The following is a 23493-nucleotide window of genomic DNA, read 5'->3' on the forward strand; positions in this document are numbered from 1 at the left end:
GACCTCCTGGGCTCAAGCAGTCCTCCCACCTCAGCCTCCTAAGTAGCTGGGACCACAGGTGCATCATATCGCCCCATGTGCTTTTTTTAAATTATTTTTCATTTTATAGAGACAGAGTCTCACTATGTTGCCCAGGCTGGTCTCGAACTCCTGGGCTCAAGCAAATCTACTGCCTTGGCTTCCCAAAGTTTTGGGATTACAGGCATGAACCACCACGCCCAGCCTATTTTTTTTTTTTAACCAAACTGCGTTTTCTTACACAAAACTAAAAATGATATCCTTGAAAGCATATAATCTTGCTACAGTTTTTACTATGAAGAGTTCTCCTTCATATGGTTACGGTTTTTAATTTGCAAGGATCCTGATTTTCTCTGTCCTGGTTTATACTGGCCCTGCTGCTTTCCACAGCATCCAGATGCCAGGATGACTATACAACAGCCGAGAAAGATGACAGAGGTGCAAAGGGCCACAGAAACCAGCCAAGTCTTTGAAGTCACAGATACCTCATCTTCATTTGCAGATGTGTGGTTTCTGCTATTGTATCCTTTGGTTTTGTTTAGTAATTGTTTGCTACTGTTGAGTCCAGGTGGAACAGGCATATGAGAAAGTTTTGTGTCTATGGGTTCAAAGAAAGGAGAAATAGTCTTATTATCTGGATTGCTGATGAAATCAGTACTTGGTGACACCTTATTTATCTTTGTGGTAATGGACTCATTCAGGGAAGTAAATCTTGCCCAAAAATCTGTGGTTAATTCCTTAGAATAACTGGTACTGTTTGTGTTTACAACCAAATCTTGATGCGTGGTTGAGGATGGAGCCTCTGTGGATGGCAGCATACCATTTATCGTGGTGGTTTGTTTATCTAAATTCATAGCTTTTAGAATCCTTAGTCTGTCCCATCTATTGGATGAAGAACGAGTATTTAGATATGTGGGAGATTGTTCAAAAACCAGCAAATCCGGATCTATACCTGAAAAATAAATAAGGCATCATTCATTTTATTTTTACTTTCAAAGCAAAAACCCTAAAGCACAGTTTGGAGAAGGGGTTGGCTTTTGCCGCTATGAGTTATCGAACGAAGCTAAATTCACGTTCTACTACCACATACTTCTCAAAGGCTTCCAAACATACTGGCTACATTTGAATTTATCTTAACTTTCTAAAACACTTTTTTTTTTAATGAACAAATTTGACTACACCCAAGGAGAAGGCTTTGTGTCTGTCAGGGTTTTTGTACAATAGCGAGTGTTACTTTGAGAGCTGTAGAAACAGTAACGATTTGAGACACAATATAGCGTTTATTATTTATTTATTTATTTTTTGAGACAGGGTCTTGCCCTATCACCCAGGCTGGAGTGCAGTGGTATGGTCTCAGCTCACTGCAGCCTCTGCCTCCCAGGTTCAAACAATCCTCTCACCTCAGTCTCCTGAGTAGCTGGGATTACAGGTGTGCGCCACCACGCCCAGCTAATTTTTGTATTTTTTTTGTAGAGATGGAGTTTTGTCATGTTGCCCAGGCTGGTCCCAAACTTGTGAGCTCAAGCGATCCGCCCGCCTCGGCCTACCAAAGTGCTGGGGTTATAGGCAGGAGCCACTGCACCCAGCAATATAGCATCTTTAAATCAAGTTAAGCAAAATAGGGCCTGAGAAGAGTGACTATAAGCAAAATCATGAGCAAAGCCTTACGCCTCATCCCTTTTCGACCTCTGAGGGTCTTGCTTTGTCTTTAGTATTTTCTCCCTTGTATACTAACTCCTTTCCCTCTAACTTCAGACATGAACAAATACTGCTTTGTCTTTATAGGAGAAGAGAAAAAACTCTCAACAGCTTTCCAATGGTCCCTGCTGGTGATCTCTCTCTCTCTCTTTCTCTCTGCGCAAACATGCCAGCATCCGTTGCTTCTGAGGTAGTCAATTGTTTCCTTACTTCCTGATCACTCACGTCACCTTGCTTTGGCTTCTCTCTTGTCCTTGATGCTGCCGGCCACCTTCTTGAATTCTTCTTCCATGACTTCCCGGACCCCGGACCCCCTTGGCATTTTCTCCCAGACTGCCTGCCTCTCATTTTTACTTTCTTTTGCTGGTTCTCTTGTACAATCTCACTGGTTGTGTGGTTTCCATAATCTTCAGTCCTTGGTTTTCAGCTGTATTTTCTCTTCACTGCCCCCTCCCCTCCAACACATACAAAGAGATTGTGCTCAATTGGCACCACTACATCAATGGTATTGAAACCCATATCAGTATGTTTTCCCCTCTTTCTTGAGCTCTGATCTCATTTATCCAGTCTTCTATTGGAGGTTTCCATCTGGACCTCTTACATCATCTCTTAATATGCCCAAAGCCAAAATCATTACCTCTGCCTCCTTCTCTCCTTCATTGGCATCATCATTCTTCCATCACCCACACTGAAATCTACACTGTAAGGTGATTTTTTTTTAAGAGACAGCTGTTACTCAGGCTGGAGTGTGATAGTGCAATCATAACTAACTGTAACCTTGAACTCCTGGGCTCAAGTGATCCTCCCACCTCAGCCTCATGAGTACCTGGGACCAACCACAGGCACACACCACCTTGCCTGGCTAATTTTTTTTGTAGAGATGGGGGTCTCTCTGTGTTGTTCAGGTTGGTCTCAAACTCCTGGGCTCAAGTGATCCTCCTGCCTCAGCCTCTCAAAGTGCTGGAATTACAGGCGTGAGCCACTGCACTCGGGCTTGCAAAGTGATTTTTGACTCCACTCACTTCATTTCCTTTTATTAAAAAGGTGATGAAGTCCTTATTCAATCTTCCCAATGCTCTGGTAATTATCCCTTCTCTTCATTTCAACTACAGTCACTTTGTGCAGACTTTAATGCTTCCCTGACTAGATTTTCTAATCTGTACCTGCATATAATTTTCCTGGACTAGGACAAATAGATATCACTTCACATGTTTTTTCATTAAATGCCCTTGTTCTCTGTTTCTGACAAAGTCAAATCAAAACTCTACTCTGTCCATGGCCCTTACGATACCTGTCCCTACCTTATCTTAGCCATATTTTCATTGCAACTACATGTCTCCTTATTGTGGCCAGATCTGTTTGCTTACTCTCCTGTGGCATAATATAGAACTCATTATCTTCTTCTGCCTGCCTTCTTCCATGAACCTCCTCTGAATACGCTGACTTTCACTAGCCTCCCCTTTGAAACTTTGCACTGAGGCAGCTTCACATATTTTTGTATTTAGTTGTGTCTTAACAATAATTGTAAGATTTGTCACATCATCTAGATTATAAAGGAAATTGAGAGCAGAGATATGGCTGCGATCTTCCACAGTGTTGATTCTAGCCTGGAGCATCAGGTGTTCAATACATACAAACTGATAAAGAAATTTATCTCCTTTGCATTTTGATGGCAAAAATCTGTTCTTTTATGGTCACTAATTTACACCCTGAGATTACATAAATGGGCACGAAACACTTATATTTCTAAAATAAAATACACTGGTTATCTTGGGACCAATGATATGCTAATGTATGTCAGCACATGGTGGTAAGTTTCCCTGAACCTGACATCCCTCTTTTCCAAATCCTGTGTGCAGTGTCCATGGCCCTCAAAACTTCCATTTAGCATTTTCTTTATCTCCTAGTGGCCCCTCAGCCACCACAGGACCTTTTTTTTTTTTTGAGGCAGATTCTTGCTCTGTCACCATGCTGGAGTGCAGTGGCGTGATCTCGGCTCACTGCAATCTCCGCCTCCCAGGTTCAAGCGATTCTCCTGCCTCAGCCTCCTGAGTAGCTGGGACTACAGGTGTGCGCCACCACGCACAGCTAATTTTTGTATTTTTGGTAGAGACAGGGTTTCACCATGTTGGCCAGGATGTTCTCGATCTCTTGACCTTGTGATCTGCCCACCTTGGCCTCCCAAAGTGCTGGGATTACAGGCATGAGCCACCGCGCCTGGCCGAGAAATGCTTCCTTTGGCTTTGCTAAGAGTTCTTGAGATTCATGAAATACAGTGGGTAAGCTCTTGTTCAATCATGTATGATTTATAATCTGGAGTGAACTCTTTGCTGAACACATCAAACTAAAGAGAATTTTCTTTCAGTTTTCTGTCCTAGATATCCAAAATTTTTCCCAAGTTCACTGGAAAATAATTATTTTAGGGACTCACATATGGCTATTGCCAGCCAGTTTCTCAGCTATATGCCTCTACTAGAATATCGCCAGCATTCTTTTAAAGTCTTGAAATATGTAATCATTACCGTCTGTTATGTTGTACAAAATGGCACTGGTTCCAGGCTCTAATATGCAGCTCTCCAGTGTTGGGCAGTGAACATGGAGGCAGTTGATATTGTCATGAATAGGACTGTGGTAGAAGACAGCCAGGTTACAGGAAACTGAAAGGGAAACAAGCGAAGTACATCTGCAGATGGTCTCAATTTGCACCAATTTCATGAACTCTGAGTAACTTAGATTTGTTTCAGGAATACTGGATTAACAGTATTTTTCAGGGCAATATGCAGACATTTTGCAGAATGTTTATAAACTATTGTAACTGCTTCTGTGAATATGGAAAATACTTTTTTTTATTTTTTGAGACAGGGTCTTGCTCTGTCACTCAGGCTGGAGTGCAGTGGTGCGATTACAGCTCACTGCAGCCTAGACCTCCCGGGTCCAAGCAATCCTTCCACCTCAGTCTCCCAAATAGCTGGGACTAGAGGCACGCATCACCATGCTGGGCTAATTTTTGTATTTTTTTGTAGAGGCAGGGTTTCACCATGTTGCCCAGGCTGGTCTCAAACTCCAGAGCTCAAGCAATCTGCCTCCCCCAAAGCTGGAATTACAGGGAGGAGCCACCACACCCAGCCAGAAAATGCCTTTTTAAAATAAAATACTGATTTTCTCAAAGTAATCTTTCATACTTTCCATCCCACACAGGATATTTGGAATCATTCATTATTTCCTGGTCCCAGAATTTTGTGTTCATGAAAAGTTAGATTAGCTACAAAAACCTCTGGGGGCCCGGCGTGGTGGCTCATTCCCGTAACCCCACCGCTATGGGAGGCCGAGGGGGGCAGATCACCTGAGGTCGGGAGTTCCAGACCAGCCTGACCAACATGGAGAAACCCCGTGTCTACTAAAAATACAAAATTAGCCAGGCGTGGTGGCGCATTCCTGTAATCCCAGCTACTCGAGAGGCTGAGGCAGGAGAATCGCTTAAACCCAGGAGGTTACAGTGAGCCAAGATCACGCCATTGCACTCCAGACTGGGCAACAAGAGCGAAACTCCGTCTCAACAACAACAACAACAACAACAAAACCCTGGGGATTTATATATCAGGTTTCTAGGCACAGTGTCCTCTCAGAATACTAAGGGGCTGGGGGTCACCAGAGAAAGAAATAGGAAAATACACGGACAAATGCTGTAAAGAAGAAGAGGGAGTAGTGGGAAGGGCAAAAGAGTAATAACTGAGCGGCCCAGATGGTGGAAAGGCCACAGGCTGTGTGAGCATCACCTTGCCTAGACTGCAGGTGTGCACTCTCCCCACATGCAAAATCACATCCAAGGGAAAGCCTAATCAGTGTCATTTAAAGAGGCAGGGACTGGACAGGCAGGGATGCTAGCAGGTAGAATTCTAGCAGGTGGGGACACACTATTGGCTCATGCTGTCTTTCCTTTTCTAAGCAAATTTGCTTTTTAAAACATGTTCTCTGGCCAGGCGCAGTGGCTCACACCTGTAATCCTAGTACTTTGGGAGGCCAAGGTGGCGGATCACTTGAGGTCAGGAGTTCGAGACCAGCCCGGCCAACATGGCGAAACGTCGTCTCTACTAAAAAAAAAATACAAAAATTGGCTGGGCATGGTGGCACGCATCTGTAATCCCAGCTACTCAGGAGGCTGAGGCACGAGAATCACTTGAACCCAGGAGGCAGAGGTTGCAGTGAGCTGAGATCATGCCACTGCACTCCAGCCTGGGCAACAGGATAAGACTCTGTCTCAAAAAAAAAAAAAAAAAAAAGAAAAAGAAAAAGAAAAAGAAAAAGAAAATAGTTCTCTGACAGAGGAAGAGAAGACTTAAAAAGAAAAAAGTTTCCTTAGTTCTGGAAAACCTGAAGCAGATTTGTGTAATGCAAATCTTCAGTCTATCCTCACAAAAGTGCAACATAGATTCTACTTCTGCTGCAGTGCAGTAGAGACCATGTGATATGAAATATCCATTGGCCAAAAGGTACCGACTTTTTTTTTTTTTTTTTTTTCAGTCACCCAGACTGGAGTGAAGTGGCACAATCTTGGCTCAATGCAACTTCCGCCTCCTGGGTTCAAGCGATTCTCCTGCCTTACTTAGCCTCCTGAGTAGCTGGGATTACAGGTGTGCACTACCATGCCTGGTTAATTTTTGTATTTTTAGTGGAGATGGATTTCACCATGTTGTCCAGGCTGGTCTCCAACTCCTAACCTCGAGTGATCTGCCTGCCTCGGCCTCCCAAAGTGATGGGATTACAGGCATGAGCTACCCTCCAAGGTATCAACTTCTTTAATAAAATAAGATTACAGAGGGCCAGCATCCGGTTACCAGACCTCAAAGCATGCCTAAAGCTGTGGATCTGCTGCTAGCAGAGCCTGTACTGCTGCTGTGTAAGGTGAACTGTGAGGAGTTAATCTCCATCATTACTTCTAGGACATCCTCATGTTGCCGCACTCTATTTTTCCAGGAGAAAGAATAAGACAAAAATTAGTTAATAATACATTGCTAATACATTACACATTACAAACACATTCCCTGAGAACTGTGCTGTAAAGTTTAAGGGAAAGAAAAACTATTCAAACTTAAGACTTTTAAATTTCTGATGAGAAAGTAGTTGATTCTGCAGAGGACAATTTTGAAACATGTTTTACATTCCTTGTATACGTTTTGGCATCCCAGCTCTGAGCAGGATTGTGGCATTTTAAAGTTATGGCTTCCAGCTAAAAACTGGAATGTGCCTTCCTGTTCTTTCTTGTTCTGAAGGAAGAAAGCCACAACTGGGAAGTTACACGGGCTTTAAAATCATGGGATTGCCCTATACGCTTACAGTATCCCCGACAGTCCAAAGGCCAGAGCTTCTCTGCTGTGGAGTCAGGTAAATTCATGCTACGGGAAAATTCAAGAAAGCGTCCTGCCCCTCCGCTATCTCCCCTCAGTGAGGACTTACGGGAGTTAAAAGCATCTGGAAGGTGGAAATCCAGATTGGCTATCTTTTCAAAAAGATTTCCTCTTATTAAATTAATTATTGTAGCTCCAATTTTCATCTCAAAAATCTTACATACATAATCTTACATACACAAAAATCTTACATAGGTAATTGGGCAAGAGGCATTGGAAATTAACAAGTTGATATGAAACCATGGAAAGAAAGTGTAGAACAACCAAGGGAATTATTTTAAAGTGCTGTGTTGCTTTTGCTGTTTATTTTCAAGTAGCATTAAAATCTTGGAAAAATGAAAAAGAAATGAAAGAAGTCTTTAGGCAATTATAACTTGAAATCCTGCAATAATAAAATAAACATTCTTAATTGCAGGTCTTGATCATATTATATGGATGAAGTCTACACGCAGATTCCATGTGACAGACAAAACATCTATGAGGAATATTTGGAAATATGATTTTGGGGCGGGTATTTGACATATATCTCCCTGTTTCTTTCAAAACATGAATCGCACTCTAAATTGTTTTTTAATACATTCCACATTTGGTAAACCCAAGTCAGCACATTTTAGTTTAGTTGTGTGTGTTTGTGTGTGAGAGAGAGAGAGAGAGAGTCAGTCTCACTCTGTTGCCCAGGCTTGAGTGCACTGGTGCGATCTCGGCTCACTGCAACCTCTGCCTCCTGGGTTCAAGCGATTCTCCAAACTCAGCCCCCCGCGTAGCTGGGATTACAGGCGCCTGCCACCACCCCTGGCTAATTTTTGTATTTTTAGTAGAGAGGGGGTTTCACCATGTTGGCCAGGTTGGTCTCCAACTCCTGACCTCGAGTGATCCACCCACCTCGGCCTCCCAAAATTCTGAGATTACAGGCATTAGCCACCGCACCTGGCCCAGCACATTAAAAAAAATTTGATATGATACTAATATCACAAAATGTACTTTGAAAGGGAAATTATAATAAATATTTGACTGGGTGCAGTGGTTCACATCTGTAATCCCAGCACTTTGGGAGGCTGAGGCAGGAGGATCACCTGAGTCCAGGAGTTCGAGACCAGCCCGGGCAACATAGTGAGACCCTGTCTCTAAAAATTTAAAATAAAATGAGAAATAAATAAATATTTTTAAAATCATGTATATTTTGAGCTGTAAAAATATTGTAAATTAACCTTAGGGGAAATACTTTCATTTAGCATTTTGGTGAAGAAAAGAGGATTCTGTTTCCTGTAGGTGCTATCAAATTCTGGGTCATTATTAGATCTGTAAATAGAGCCTGCTGTGGCCCAGACTGTGAAATCAGTTTCACTGGCTCTCTTACCTCTCCCTCTCTCTCCCACACCCTAGGGCATCTTCTCTAGTTCTTTACAACTGTTTACTGGCCTCTGCCTAAGGCTCCTCACTTAGGGCTTCATCCTTGGAAGTTTCTTCTTATTTTTGCCCAAGCATATCATGAATACTTACCATCCTTCCGAAGACAGCAGCTCCTACTGCACTTCTGGCCAGTGCTTTCAGAATAATACTTCAAGAACTGGGCTCCCAGCTTCTGAGACTCCTCCAGATTGATTAGAAGACCTGGGAAGCGACGGATCCAGCAGTCTCTGTAAAAAATTGTGGGTGAGCAGAGAGAGTCTGATGTCCACCCCATGCTTAGGAGCAATATCACGTTCACTGCTACCTCTGCCACATGCATTTTTCCTGTATGAAGGAAGACTCGAAGATAAGTCTGATTTCCAGACAGAAGCTGAACACTGGAGTTTAGGACAGTCTCTGGAACGTCAGAGGTGTTGTTAAGGGAGAGCTTCCTTGCAGCTTTTCTGGAGAGTCACTTTCTAGCAAAATAAGACCACTCTTTGCACATTGATTTTTCTTTTCTTCCCGAGCTCCAGGTGAACATTTGATTTGCTGGCATTCTTTCTGAACACTTTCCAGGCTATTTCAATACCCTGTCCCTTAGCATCTTAAGACGTGCATTCTCTTTTCTGCTTTTCTTCTTTCTCTGAAAGTGAATAGTCACAGACACCTTTTGCTAAGTAAATATAAAGGCAAGTGGAAACCTTAGTCAAGAGGCTTTCTGAGGGAAACAACAAGTTAGTCACTTGACATCAGATAAAGGAAGTATCCATTTCATCATAAACAAGACATGATTTTGTGAGGGCACTTCTGTTTGATTTTTAAAGAACTTGTGATTGCAGATTGTTTTTTAAAAAATCATCTCGATTTCTTTGAACTTAAGTTCTGGCATTCAGGTTCACCAAAAATAATTTTTTTGCACTGGTTTGGGTTTTCATTCTTACTTAAAAAAAAAACCTTGGCCAGGCACAGTGGCTCACACCTGTAATCTCAACACTTTGGGAGGCTGAGGTGGGAGACTGCTTGAGCCTGGGAGGTAGAGGTTGCAGTCAGCTGAGATGACACTACTGCACTCCAGCCTGGGTGACAGAGCGAGACCCTGTCCCAGAAAAATCAAACCAAACAAACAAACAAACAAAAAACACTAGGAAAATGGTGAAATCTTTTTAAATTTCTAAATAGTAATAAAATCATTTCAATTGCAATGCCCAAACATTTGAAAAGGCAGTGAAAATGGACTGTTGCTTTTGTGAAAGTTGTGGGTTTCATATCCTGTGACATCCAAGGTGACAAATTAGCTCAAAGCATAAAACTGTTGCTTTTTTGTATCCAATTTTATATGAAGCATTAGTGATAATCAGCTTTTGGCACAAAGCACTCTACTGTTTCTTCTAAAAAAAGAGAAACTTTCTAATCTGTGATCCGTATTTCTTTTATACCTTTTTATACAATGACTCATTCACCTTCTTGACACAAAAATCATCAGCATTCTTTGAACGTTCATCTCTTCAACTGTTTCCTAATAATAGTCAATCTAGTTATTACATATCTTTTTATTTTTAGAAACATGATAATAATTGATAATGAAAAGGAAAGTAGTTAAGACTGAATAGCTTTAAATATGAAACACTTCATTTTCTTCTGAGCAAAAATTATATTATGCACTAACTCCTAACCTTGCCTAAGCCACATAGAATACACAAAATGATAAATATTTCATTCTATTGAACTTCTTACAGAAAGCAAATTTCAGTTGCTCACCTGCAAAGACTCAGACATTTCCATCTGTTTGAAGGGATAGGGAAGAGAGGTTTTATAATGGCAAAGGAAGGAAGGGAAAGGATGAGTAACAAAAAATTACTCTCGATATTTTATGAGATTCCATGGCTATTTCTCTTAGAAAATGCCCTCGAGACATAAACAGGAAGGTCTACTCTCTAATCTTATAATCTTCAAGTCTTTGAGTCATATTAAGTATAGGTTCTTTTGTGTGCTATATAATTCTTTGAAGTTCTCGTATTCCTTTCAGGGATAATGGAACAAGCCACAATTGTTTAACCCTTTTGCTGTCAGATTATATTTAAATAAAGATCAAAGTTTCATTTTAAAGGACCTAGAAGTCTTGGCCAGGCGGGGTGGCTAATGCCTATAATCCCAGCACTGTGGGAGGCTGAGGCAGGAGGACTGCTTGAGCCTAGGAGTTCGAGACCAGCCTGGGCAACACAGGGAGACAGGGTCTCTACTTACTAACTAACTAAAGCCCTGCAGGGGCTGGTGCTATTAAGAAACAAAAAACAAACAAACAAAAAAGGGATCTACAAGTCTCAATGTAAAAGCATGCTTTAAATTTTGTAAAACTTTTTCTGGAGATTGCATTGTCTGGAAATGGATAACTTCTTGGGGCCAAGTGTTTTAAAAAGAAATGGTAGAAACTGGAATGCAGAGGTAGAGGGAGGCATCCATAACAATCTCAAAACTTGTCCCTGTGTGCTGAAACTGCAGAAACCAGGAAGCAATGCAACTGAATCAAAACTTGTTATAAGGCCTTGTTATCAAATACCCAGAACCACTACACTGTTGCAATGTGGAATACATTATATTTCTTTCCAATAGGGTGCTCTTGCTCTGCAGAGGGGTTCACAAATGTGATTTGTACTTTAAAAGTCACGACAGCCTGATTCAGTAGCTGTTGAGTGGAGAGTGACATTCTTATTTTTACAAGAGTCCCAGGTGATTTCCTAAGATGTTTGGGAAACACTGATATAGATAGATGAGCGAAATAAATGGAACTTTTACCTAAACAACGATGCTCAACCTAGTTAACTAGAACCATTTAAAGACCATATACTACTTTTATCTCATTTAAATCACTCCATAAGCTTTGATGAAAGGAAGATACTTCAGTTTTGCTTGTTAAAAAACAGGAATAGGCCAGGCATGGTGGCTCACGCCTGTAATCCCAGCACTTTGGGAGGCTGAGATGGGCGGATCACTAGAGGTCAGGAGTTTGAGACAAATGTGGCCAATATGGTGAAACCTCATCTCTACTAAAAATACAAAAATTAGCTGGGTGTGGTGGCACACGGCTGTAATCCCAGCTACTCGGGAGGTTGAGGCAAGAAAATCACTTGAACCTGGGCAGCAGAGGTTGCAGTGAGACGAGATTGCACCACTGCACCCCAGCCTGGGAGACACAGCAAGGCTCTGTCTCAAAAAAACCAAAAAACAAAACAAAAAAAAAACCCCAGAAATAAAGTTGTTTTAGGAATATTGAGGAACTGAAAAAACAAAGAGAAATAATTTTTAAATAGTAGTGAAGTAATAGCATAGCTTTAGTAAATTCAAGACATTTGGAAAGCAGTCAATATTTCACCTTTAATTAATTATTTATTTATTTTTTGAGAGTTTCCATTTCATTTGCTGATAAAATTAATAAAAATTATTTTTTAAAAAATGGTACCTGAAAAACTTAAATGTTTTTTCTTTAAAAATGTTTTTGCTTCTATTAAATCAACATATGTTCACTTTAATAATTCAAATCATATAGAAAAATACAAAAAGAGAAACTATTCAAGCACTTACCATCTTAATAAACATCTTTCTGGATATTGTTATTTAAAAAAACATATGAACGTCAAAATACAAAATTACAACAAATTTAGTTTAAAGACCTTAATTGGCTTTTATTTGTGATTCCAGAATAGGGCAACACCTCATTCTATAAAATCCAATAAACTGAGCAGAGGAGGTGGCTTTGTTGATGGAAAAGAGCTGAGGAAAGCAGAAATAGAAAATAAAAAGCAGGGGCTGGGCACGGTGGCTCACGCCTGTAATCCCAGCACTTTGGGAGGCTGAGGCGGGCAGATCACGAGGTCAGGAGATCGAGACCATGCTGGCTAACATGGTGAAACCCCGTGTCTACTAAAAATACAAAAAAATTAGCTGGGTGTGGTGGCAGGTGCCTGTAGTCCCAGCTACTCGGGAGGCTGAGGCAGGAGAATGGAGTGAACCTGGGAGGCGGAGCTTGCAGTGAGCTGAGATCGCGCCACTGCACTCCAGCCTGGGCGACAGAGCGAGATTCCGTCTCAAAATAAATAAATAAATAAATAAATAAATAAATAAATAAATAAATAAGATTACTTTCCTTGTAAAGGTTAAAGCAGAGGGCACTGCCTTATCATACTGGTTAAAAGCGGCCTGTCTGGGGATTTGGTTATTATCTCTCTCCTGATTTTTTCAAAGATCAGATACAGATCTTGGTTCTGGCTTGGTGGCATCATGGAACATCACCATGAGTAACTCCATTTTGGTTTCATCTGTTGGGGCTAGTGCAGGAGCTCAGTTCAAACCAATGGTCTTGGCTGGTGCGGTGGCTCACACCTATAATCCCAACACTTTCTAAGGTCGAAGAGGGAGAATTGCTTTGAGCCCAGGAGTTTTGATATCAGCCTGGAAAACATAGGGAGAGCCTGTCTCTACAAAATTTTAAAAAATTAGCCGGTTGAGGTGGGGCCCATGAGGTTGAGGCTGCAGTGAACTGTGGTTGTGCCACTGCACTCCAACTTAGGCAACAGAGCAAGACCCTGTCTCAAATAAATACTAAACAAACCAATGGTCTATACATTTTATTTATTTTTAAATTTTTTTGTAGAGACAAGGTCTCACTATGTTGCCCAGGCTGGCCTCAAACTCCTGGCTTGTGCAATCCTCCCGCCCTGGCCTCCCAAAGTGCTGGGATTACAGGAATCGGTCACTGCACTGGCCTCCTATAAATTTTATTTTACAGTATATAGGTTTACATAAAGGGAATCATATATGCTGTTCCAAAATCTGTTTTTTTTTTTTAAACTTTATGTAAAAGTATATTTTTCAGCCAGGCGTGGTGGCTCACGCCTGTAATCCCAGCACTTTGGGAGGCTGAGGTGGGCGGATTACCTGAAGTTGGGAGTTGAAGACCAGCCTGGCCAACATGGTGAAAACCCGTTTCTACTAAAAATACAAAAATTAGCCAGGCGTGGTGGCAGACACCTGTAATCCCAGCTACTTGGGAGGCTGAGACAGGAGAATGGCTTGAACCCAGGAGGCTGAGGTTGTAGTGAGCTGAGATCACACCACTGCACTCCAGCCTGGGCAACAAGAGCGAGACTGTCTCAAAAAAAAAAAAAAAAAAAAGTATATTTTTCAGTGATCCTAAAGAAAGATCTACACAAAAACTTCTAATGGCTCCTTGGTATTTCATTCTACCATACCAAAATTTACTCTGCACTTCAGCTTCCTCAGCTGTAAAATATAAAAACAGTACTGTAATCCATGTAAAGCACTTACAACAGTGCCTGGCACATGCTAAACACTCAATACATATTAGCTACTATTATTATACATTATGTTGTTTTCCAATTTTTTGTTATTAAAAGCAATACTGTGATAAACATCTTGTACTAAGATTTTTTTTTCTACTTGCTATTTCAAAAGGGATATTTTCCATAAGTTCTTTAAAAAATGACCTACTTCAGCTGGGTGTGGTGGCTCATACCTGTAATCCCAGCACTCTGGGAGGCTGAGGAGGGAGCATCACTTGCGCCCAGGAGTTCAAGACCAGCCTGGGCAACATGGTGAAACCCCGTCCCCACAGAAAATGTAAGAATTAACCGGGCATAGTGGCGCAGGCCTGTATTCTCAGCTACTTGGGAGGCTGAGGTGGGAGGAGCACTTGAACCTGGGAGGCCTCTGGGAGGAGCACTTGAACCTGGGAGGCTTCATTGAGCCATAATAGTGCCACCACACTCCAGCCTGAATGGCAGAGTGAGACCCTGTCTAAAAAAATAAAAAATAAAAAATAAAAATTACCTAACTCTATTTGACCATTACGCTTCTGTAAAACTGTTTTACAGATAGTACCACAAAACTGGTTTTTATTATTCAATGATCAGTCAATAACAGATCTATAAAATTATACCTCCAGTTATATAAAGCAATATTTTCAGGAAGACTAGGAATAATTTTAGGTCTTTTTAAAATAAAGGAGTTTATATTGCTCTGACTTTGCATTTCTAGCTTAACAGAAAACTTACTGCATAATTTATTAAAATGATTTGATCATTTAAGATGCTCCCAATCCTAAATAATGTTATTATCATATTGGGAGCCAAAAAAACTCACAAGATCAATGCCCAGTATTGTGAGACTAATACCCCAGACTCCCTGTCCAACCTCATCTTACCCTGATAATGTTACTGTGCTTGAATTGCCTTTCTAATGCACATCATTCTTTGAGCATGATTTTTTTGGTCTGTTTTAAAAAGGCAAGAAAATACCAGTCTGAGGCATATCTATGACGGCTGGGAAACAAAAGCATCCATTGGTGAAAGATTCAAGAGACAGAGGAGAGACTGAGAGCCTGTTCTTTGTGGCTGACCCACTGAATCTGGCATTGTTGCCGGTTGAGGCATAGAAAAATCGTAGGTCCAAGTCTCTTTGATACAGGGGACGCATCCCAGCAAAATTCCCCAGCCTGATGCTTAATACTGGATGTTACACTCTACCATCCCAAAGAAGCTGCTAAATGCTTGATCACTCACTCCACCTCCTGCTCCAAAGCTTATCGTGTCTCACTGCACCCTCATAGAGAATGGAAGTGTGAAGGGTTGATGTGAAAATGGAGTTTTATCAGTAACGATTTAAAGGCCAGGTGAAACAAGGTGAAGAGATGAATGTTTTTTATAGAATCCAAGAAAACAACTGAGTAAGTCATAGATCCATTTTTATTTCCTTCATTTTTTTCCAGGGAGGCCAGAATCTACTAGAACATTTTCTATGTCTTTTATTTTTTAGTTCCTTATTCCTAGCATTATTATAAAGAAAATAGGCCAGGCACAGTAGTGCTTTGAGAGACCAAGGCAGCAGGATCACTTGGGGTGGCAGGATCCCTTGGGGCCAGGAGTTTGAGGTCTGTCTTGGGCAAGGTAGCAAGACCCTATCTCTATGGAAAAAAAAAATGCATTTTTTTTTGCTGGGCATGGAGGCTCATGCCTGTAATCCCAGCACTTTGGGAGGCCGAGGTGGGTGGATCACGTGAGGTCGGGAGTTCCAGACCAGCCTGACCAACATGGTGAAACCCCGTCTCTACTAAAAATACAAAATTAGCCGGGTGTGGTGGCTCATGCCTGGAATCCCAGCTACTCCGGAGGCTGAGGCAGGAGAATCACTTGAACCCGGGAGGTGGAGGTTGCAGAAAGCTGAGATCGCAGCATTGCACTCCAGCCTGGGCAACAAGAGGGAAACTCTGTCTCAAAAAAAAAAAAAAATGCATTTTTTTTTCTAAAAAATAAAAAGATAAACCTCCTTTCCCAAGTAATAATAATAAACAAAGTAAAAGATGACAACAACACCTCTCTGTGAAGCAGATAAATTTCGTAGTAAGAACCACAAATGTAACCAAACTATGTTGAAAGGATCTCATGTTTCACCTTTGACTTTCTTTTAGTTCTCTGGTTTTTAACCCTTTCTCCTTCCTAAGGTAAAATGTTAGCATGGTAGGATGTATCTTCTTTAAATAGGGGAAATGTACTTATGAAGAAGATATTATTTAACAATCTGTCATTCAAGAAGAAAGCTGAAGCTTGTAATAATAAAAAAAAAAACCAAACACATATTCTCTCCAAGTTAAGGACTGTTTATCATAGGTGGTTCTCAAATCTTGGTTTGGGGTAAGTTTTCAAGGTTTTCTGTTTTTGTTTTGTAAGATAAGAGTGAACACACCCTCTGCTTCCTCCCAATCCTTCTCCCTTCTCCTACCCAAAGATAATCCAAACAATATATTTCTCCCCCCACCCCCTTCCTGGGATGAATTCATTAGCAAGACAAAAAGTCCTTCCTATTATTATTTGGGGTGGGCCTTCTAATTGCAATGTTCAGTGAGAGAACATAGGAAACAAGTGGTCTCTCTTTTCCGAGACGGCGTCTCGCTCTGTCGCCCAGGCTGGAGTGCAGTGGCGCGATCTCGGCTCACTGCAACCTCCGCCTCCCGGGTTCCAGCAATTCTCCTGCCTCAGCCTCCCGAGTAGCTGGGATCACAGGCGCGTGCCACCACGCCCGGCTAATTTTTGTATTTTTAGTAGAGACGGGGTTTCACCATGTTGGCCATGGTGCTCTCGAACTCCTGACCTCGTGATCTGCCCACCTGGGCTTCCCAAAGTCATGGGATTACAGGCGTGAGCCACCGCGCTCAGCCAAACCGCACGTGTGGTCTCTCTTAATAGTCCTCAGATGATGGGGGCAGGGTAGGTGGAGAAAGGGGGTGACAAGAAAAGCTACTTCTTGCAGACATTTATGAGCCAATTTTGTCAGATCTTTTGCGCCAGGATAACATTCCGTAATGGACTGGACTGAAGTAGAAAAGCAATGGCTCATAGAAAACATGGTTTAAAACCAGAAGCCACGTGATGTAACTTTATTTAGTCGGGCTGCGCTTTCATCTTTCTTTTAATAACTTAGGGAGAATAAGGGGCCCCAGTGGCAAATGCAAGCTCCCCTGCCTCCCAACCCGATTCCTCTGAGAACCTGCTGCCATCTGCCTGGACCTCCTGTAAGATGGCTCCTACGCGACCACGCTACCAGAGAATCAGCTCTACGTGCCACCAACATTGCCACCAACTGTCCATAGATCGCCTGCGTGCCTCAGCCCACTGACACTCGATGCCGGACTGGGCCAGAAGGACGACCCCATATTTGATGCCTTTTTGTCTCCCTGGACCAGAGACTCCATCCTTCCCTTTCCTCCCACGCTCATTTCTTTTTCTTTAGCCCGTGTAAAGCAGCGTGGGAGAGAAAACGAATTTCTTCTCCCTGGGGTACCCCGGAGCATCACTGCAGCCCCCAACAAGCGGCGGAGCCGGCGCGCCCCGGGCGGGCGGAGAGGCTGCGGGGACGCGCGCCCTCCGCCTCCCGCAGCTGCGCGTCCGCAGCCGAGGCGCCCGGGCCCGCAGCTTCCCGGGCCTCCCCGAGAGCCGGATCCAGCCGGCAGGTCAGGCCGGCGGCTGGGGTCCCGCGGGCGGAAGTGAGAAGGGCGGCGGGGGAGGAGGCTGCTGGCTGGGAGCTGGAATTCCCTTCCCGCCTGGCGCCGCCCGGGAGAGCCCGCGCGAGGACGCCCGCCGCGCTCCGCCGGCCCTTTTTTGGCGCTGAGGGAAAGGAGAAGGGCAGGGCCGCCGCCTCGCGGGAGCGGGCCCCGGGAGGAGGGGCCGCCGGAGAGGCCGGGCGAGCGCGGGCGGCCCTCACCTCGCCGCTCCTCCCGGGCCGCCATCCCTCGGCGCCCCGCCCGGAACCGGCGCGCGCGTAGGGGCTGGGAGGCCGGCGCGCAGATCTGGCGGTGAGCGCTGCCGCCCCGGGGCCCCCAGCCATGTCGGCCGAGGAGATGGTGCAGATCCGCCTGGAGGACCGCTGCTACCCGGTGAGCAAGAGGAAGCTCATCGAGCAGAGCGACTACTTCCGCGCCCTCTACCGCTCCGGCATGCGCGAGGCCCTGAGCCAGGAGGCCGGCGGCCCGGAGGTGCAGCAGCTGCGCGGCCTCAGCGCGCCGGGCCTGCGGCTGGTGCTGGACTTCATCAACGCCGGCGGGGCCCGCGAAGGCTGGCTCCTGGGCCCGCGCGGGGAAAAGGGCGGCGGGGTGGACGAGGACGAGGAGATGGATGAGGTGAGCCTGCTGTCCGAGCTGGTGGAGGCGGCCTCCTTCCTGCAGGTCACGTCCCTGCTGCAGCTGCTGCTGTCCCAGGTGCGGCTCAATAACTGCCTGGAGATGTACCGCCTGGCGCAGGTGTACGGGCTGCCCGACCTGCAGGAGGCCTGCCTGCGCTTCATGGTCGTCCACTTCCACGAGGTGCTGTGCAAGCCCCAGTTCCACCTCCTGGGGTCTCCTCCCCAAGCTCCAGGGGATGTCAGCCTGAAGCAGAGGCTGAGGGAGGCCCGGATGACTGGGACTCCTGTCCTCGTGGCCCTCGGGGACTTCCTGGGGGGACCCCTGGCCCCTCACCCCTACCAGGGGGAGCCCCCGTCCATGCTCAGGTACGAGGAGATGACTGAGCGTTGGTTCCCGCTGGCCAACAACCTTCCTCCCGACCTGGTCAATGTCAGGGGCTATGGGTCTGCCATCCTGGACAACTACCTCTTCATAGTGGGCGGGTACAGGATCACTAGCCAGGAGATCTCCGCTGCGCATTCCTACAACCCCAGCACCAACGAGTGGCTCCAGGTGGCCTCCATGAACCAGAAGAGGTAAGCACCCCGGCAGAGTGCTGCTGCCTTCTCATTCATTCACTTGTTCATTAGTTCATTACCCCAGTGTTTACTGAGCCAGTAAATAGGGGAGGGTGTGCTGTGGTGGAAATGACATCTTCAGGAATGTTGTTGGCCTTGGCGCTGGCAAAATTCCCAATGAACTAAGAAATTGCGAAGAGGACGTCCCCAGTGAGGTCAAGAAGTGGAGTGGTTTTTTGGCAGGTATTGTGCCTTTAGGTGAAACTGCTTTCTTTGCCTCTGTTCTTGTGAAAAAAGATGTTGTGGTTTCCTACAAGAATACTTTAAAAGAAAATTGCCCCTTAATTTTTAAAAAATTTGTCTTAGTTTTTAGGATTTGATCCTGATGATAATGATACACTGGACAGTAACCTGTAACACTGACTTTGGGGGATTTTTTTCTGATGTCAGTGACTGTGACAACAGAGTCTTCCACACTGTGATACCCATCATGATCAAGAGATAATCACTGGAAATGTATTAACGTTTGCAATAGGGGTTGCTTTTCTTATTTTTTATCCTCTCTTTTGCTTCCTTCCCTGGACAGCCATCGTCATGACCCACAGCTTGAGCCTGGAAGTGTTCAACTACAGAATTGGAATATTTTCATTTACGCAACCTTCTCCCCCTCCCATCCTGCAAATCTCTCCTGCCTCCAACAAGGGTGACTTGAAGAAAGGAAGAGGAGGAGCTTGAGGAGTGGGATGAGAGGGGAGAAGGGAAAGGAACCAGGGAAGGAATATCAAAACAAGAGCAAAGAGCATATACAGGAAGAGATGGTAGGAAATAAAGATGGTAGCGCCTAGGAGGCCTCAGCGTCATTCAGAAGCAGGGAAAAGAATCAATGTAACTCAAGAAAGGATGAAAATACCCTTTCTTCCCATCCACGTGTTTCCATCTCAATCCTCACAGGGTCCTGGTCCTGAAGTGTGGAGCAAGGAGTTGGGGAGCTCACAGCTGGGCAAAGAAAGTCTTAACAGTAACAGAGAATCCTTTATATATCTGTTTATTTGACTCGAGGGTCCTCCTCGGCCAGGGATTATTTGGGGGAAATAACTGGCTTTATTTCTCCTATAATATGAAATTCATTTTGAAAAGTATGCTTTTTCCCCTGATAATACATAGTTACAGAAAACTGGAAAATGGAAAAGAATGAAGAAGCAAAAAGATGATTATTCCTACCCGCTCTTCCTAGAGGCAGTAACCAGGTTGGCATATTTCCTGCCAGCCCATTTTTAATGCATTATTTACACCATTGAGATGATACCATATTTAAAATTTGGTATCAGAAGTGTTATTTTAAAACAAATTCTATGCACTGTAATTGAAACAACAAAGGAACATTGTGTGGCCATGGGTGGTGGTCTGATTAGGGGTGGGCGGCCCTGAGTTCTCTCACTCCTCTTGCATTCCTCTAGCTACACATCATTTGGTGCTCACCAGGCCATCCTTAGTGCCACAGTTCCTCACACTTCTTTCTTCCCTTCATACATCCTTGGTAGTCTTTGTCTTTTTTTCTAGGAAGGCCCTTTTCATCCCCTTAAAAAAAAAAAAAGCATTCAAGTAATGCATGAATGCATGATTCTTAGAAAAACTGCAAATTACACACAAAACTGTGGAGTAAAAAGAGTAAATGTCTGCCCTCAGGGTACAGAAAAAAAGTGTCAGTGTATCAACAGACTTTTGTTACCTTTAGATATTATAAATGTATAAACATTTATACTGTAAATTATATGTATACTTGTATAAATACAGTTAACCCTTAAACAATGTGGGGGCCAGGGACACCAAACCCTGCACAGTCAAAAATCCCCATATAACTTTTGACTCTCCCAAAAACTTAACTACTGAATAGCCTACTGTTTACCAGATGCCTTACCAATAACATAATCAATTAATACATTTTGTATATGTAGTATATACTTTATTCTAACAATAAAGTATGCTATAGAAAAGAAAATGTTATTAATAAACTAAGGAAGAGAAAATTAAGCGGAAGTGGATCATCCTTATCATCTTGACGCTGAGTAGGCTGAGGAGGAAAAGGAGGTAGAGGAAGGGTTGGTTTTGCAGTCTCGGGGTGGCAGAGGCAGAAGAAAATCTGAATGTAAGTGGACCCTCACAGTTCAAACCCGTGTTATTAAAGGATCAGCTGTATAAGTATATTGATAGTGGTTAACAATAGGGGAAAAGTGTTTATGTATATTAATGTGCACGGGGGTGTATCACCTTACACATTTTAAAAATTCTGAAATTGTCTAGGTTGTACTAATTATTATGGCACTTGATATTTCCATTTAACCATATCTGAGAGTTTTTTTTCTGTGTCAACAAATGTAGATCTACCTTATGCTTTTTTATTTTTTTATTTTTTTTGAGACGGAGTCTCGCTCTGTCGCCCAGGCTGGAGTGCAGTGGCGGGATCTCGGCTCACTGCAAGCTCCGCCTCCCGGGTTCACGCCATTCTCCTGCCTCAGCCTCCCGAGGAGCTGGGACTACAGGCGCCCGCTACCACACCCGGCTAATTTTTTTTTGTATTTTTAGTAGAGACGGGGTTTCACTGTGTTAGACAGGATGGTCTCGATCTCCTGACCTCGTGATCCGCCCGCCTCAGCCTCCCAAAGTGCTGGGATTACAGGCGTGAGCCACCGCGCCCGGCCTTACCTCACGCTTTTTAATGGCTGCGTGGCATTCCAGCCTATGGATGTACCATAATGTAATTAGCCCTTCCCTTATTTATGGACATTTAGGTCACTTCCATTTGCATTGGATGTTTCAATAAGCACTGCCATTGAACATCCTGGTAGATGCGTGCATGTATCTTAGTAGCCATATGTGAGTTAGTTTCATATGTCAAATTCGTGGAATCCCTGGATAGGTAGGGCAAAGTGTATGTGTTTTTTTTTTTTGTTTTTGTTTTTTTTTTTTGGGGACGGAGTCTCGTTCTGTTGCCCAGGCTGGAGTACAGTGACGCGATCTCGGCTCACTGCAAGCTCCGCCTCCCAGGTTACGCCATTCTCCTGCCTCAGTTTCCCGAGTAGCTGGGACTACAGGTGCCCGCCACCACGCCTGGCTAATTTTTTTTTTTTTTGTATTTTTAGTAGAGAAGGGGTTTCACCTTGTTAGCCAGCATGGTCTCGATCTCCTGACCTCGTGATCCGCCCACCTAGGCTTCCCAAAGTGCTGGGATTAAGTTGTGAGCCACCGCGCCCAGCTGTGTATGCATGTTTTAAATTTTGTTGAAGCTGGGTGCAATGGTTCACGCTTGTAGTCCCAGCTACTTGGGAGGCTTAGGCAGGAGGATCACTTGAGCCCAGGAACTGAAGGCTGCAGTGCACTCTCATCGGGCCCGTGAATAGCCATTGCACTCCAGCCTGAGCAACATAGTGAGACCTCATCTCTATAAACAGTTAAAAATAAATAAATAAATAGATTTTGGTTGCTCCCGCCAAATTGCCCATCAAAAAAATTGTTCTGATTTCCTCTTCCATCAAAAGTGTTTGTGCTTGCCAGTTCCCTATACTCTTGCCAAGATAGAATATTATCATCTTTTTTTCCCCAAACCTAATGGGCAAAAACACTAGTGTGATTTTTCCCAATTAGAAGAGAGATTATTCTTTTTATATGTTGGTTGGCCATTTGTATTTCTTTTGTAAATGGTCTTTGCCAGTTTCCTAAAAATTGGCTTATTTTCTTCACATTCATTTGAGAAGTTCTATGTGTGAATACAGATATTAATCTCTTGTCTGTTATGTAATGTCGTGCATGTTTTCCCATGCTGTTATTTTTTCTGCAGTGTTCAAAAATAAGATCCCAAAGTGACTGGGTAGGTGAAATTGTTGCATAGAGGGGTGGGTGGGAGTTATGATGAAGCTGAGAGCTATCGCCCCACCAAAAGAGGGCTCCACCTCTCAACCATGGCTGGTTACTTCTACGGGGAAGGGAGGAAATGTTGCCAGACATCCAAATATCCCTTTATTTTTTCTTTTTTAAAGAAATGGGGTCTTGCTTTGTCACCCAGGCTGGAGTACAGTGGTGTGATCATAACTTACTGCAGCCTTCAACTCTTGGGCTCAAGCAATCCTCCTGCTTCAGCCTCCCCAGTAGCTGGGACTACAGGCATGCAACACCATGCTTGGTTAATTTTTTAAAATTAAAATTTTTTCTTTTGTAGAAATGGGGGCTATGTTACCCAGGCTGGTCTTGAACTCCTGGCCTCAGGTAATCCTCCCACTGTGGCCTCCCAAAGTGCTAAGATTACATGCCACCATGCCTGACCCTCCATTATATCTTCTAATTGATTATTGATGCTGTATTGGAAATTGTACCCTTCTTTAGTTCCCTCTGCTTTGACTCAGGTATGACATATCTCCTAGGAGTTCCTTCCCGAACTCTGGCTTGGGCTGAGTGTTCCGTGTCTGCTCCTCTAGCATCTCATGCACATTCCCCGACTTGAATTGAAATTCTCTGTTGTTGTCTCTCTGCCTTCCGATCAGGAACTAGGACTTACTCAATGCTTATGTATAGCCCTACTCCTAACAAGATGTCCAATAATAATAGGTGCTTAAAATACGTGTTTTCTTTAAAAAAAACTATGGAATATATTTTTACATTATTGTAATAAAAGTTAATGTATAATTTTATATTTCGCTTTATTTGTAACACTATAGTGAACATTTTTACCTTGGTAACAGTC

At 43.6% G+C, this 23493-nt stretch overlaps 2 protein-coding genes across 5 annotated transcripts in view, besides 5 other annotated features; one reads left to right on the forward strand and one right to left on the reverse strand.

Moving 5' to 3' along the window:
* MANSC4 (MANSC domain containing 4) lies at positions 1-17810 on the reverse strand. 2 transcript variants are annotated; one of them, NM_001146221.5, is made up of 4 exons: positions 17784-17810; positions 8622-9156; positions 4239-4373; positions 1-970 (listed from the first exon to the last, which is right to left on the reverse strand). In NM_001146221.5, the coding sequence occupies exons 2-4, from the start codon at positions 8848-8850 to the stop codon at positions 312-314; spliced, it is 1023 nt and encodes a 340-aa protein (NP_001139693.1). In that variant the 5' UTR covers positions 8851-9156; positions 17784-17810; the 3' UTR covers positions 1-311. The 2 variants fall into 2 exon arrangements, with proteins under 2 accessions (NP_001139693.1, XP_011518844.1); XM_011520542.3 differs by lacking the exon at positions 17784-17810 and having other exon boundaries at positions 8622-8758; positions 8836-10301.
* Positions 14776-14976: a silencer, noted in NCBI's record as "peak1632 fragment used in MPRA reporter construct". NCBI's record gives its function as "represses an SCP1 promoter by STARR-seq MPRAs in K562 erythroleukemia cells {active_cell/tissue: K562}" and the evidence as "EXISTENCE:reporter gene assay evidence [ECO:0000049][PMID:32103011]".
* Positions 17409-17628: a silencer, noted in NCBI's record as "silent region_4313". NCBI's record gives its function as "represses an Ori minimal core promoter by ATAC-STARR-seq in GM12878 lymphoblastoid cells {active_cell/tissue: GM12878}" and the evidence as "EXISTENCE:reporter gene assay evidence [ECO:0000049][PMID:35858748]".
* Positions 17649-17958: a silencer, noted in NCBI's record as "silent region_4314". NCBI's record gives its function as "represses an Ori minimal core promoter by ATAC-STARR-seq in GM12878 lymphoblastoid cells {active_cell/tissue: GM12878}" and the evidence as "EXISTENCE:reporter gene assay evidence [ECO:0000049][PMID:35858748]".
* Positions 17649-18323: a biological region, named in NCBI's record as "H3K27ac hESC enhancer GRCh37_chr12:27933183-27933682".
* The window catches only part of KLHL42 (kelch like family member 42), a 22808-nt gene continuing 17121 nt past the window's right edge, over positions 17807-23493 (forward strand). For all 3 annotated transcript variants that reach the window (XR_931315.4, XM_017019698.3, NM_020782.2), the window contains exon 1: positions 17807-18776. Coding sequence is in view for 2 of the 3 variants with exons in the window: in XM_017019698.3 (XP_016875187.1) it covers positions 17905-18776 (872 nt within the window). In the remaining variant the exon portion in view is untranslated. The remainder of the gene's footprint in view (positions 18777-23493) is intronic.
* Positions 17824-18323: an enhancer, noted in NCBI's record as "H3K27ac hESC enhancer chr12:27933183-27933682 (GRCh37/hg19 assembly coordinates)". NCBI's record gives its function as "activates a minimal SCP1, AML or CMV promoter by ChIP-STARR-seq in naive H9 embryonic stem cells {active_cell/tissue: H9 hESC(naive)}" and the evidence as "EXISTENCE:reporter gene assay evidence [ECO:0000049][PMID:30033119]".

This window comes from Homo sapiens, chromosome 12 (assembly GCF_000001405.40).
Source record: "Homo sapiens chromosome 12, GRCh38.p14 Primary Assembly".
NCBI classification, from domain to species: domain Eukaryota; kingdom Metazoa; phylum Chordata; class Mammalia; order Primates; family Hominidae; genus Homo; species Homo sapiens.

What these genes read in the sequence shown, in the direction of transcription:
- MANSC4 (NM_001146221.5), bottom strand. Translation starts at nt 8,850, where the DNA reads ATGCATGTGGCAGAGGTAGCAGTGAACGTGATATTGCTCCTAAGCATG. An exon ending in CTGCTGTCTTCGGAAGGATG is followed by an intron (nt 4,374 to 8,621) that starts GTAAGTATTCAT and finishes TTTCCCTTTCAG; the next exon opens with TTTCCTGTAACCTGGCTGTC. An exon ending in TTTGTACAACATAACAGACG is followed by an intron (nt 971 to 4,238) that starts GTAATGATTACA and finishes TTTATTTTTCAG; the next exon opens with GTATAGATCCGGATTTGCTG.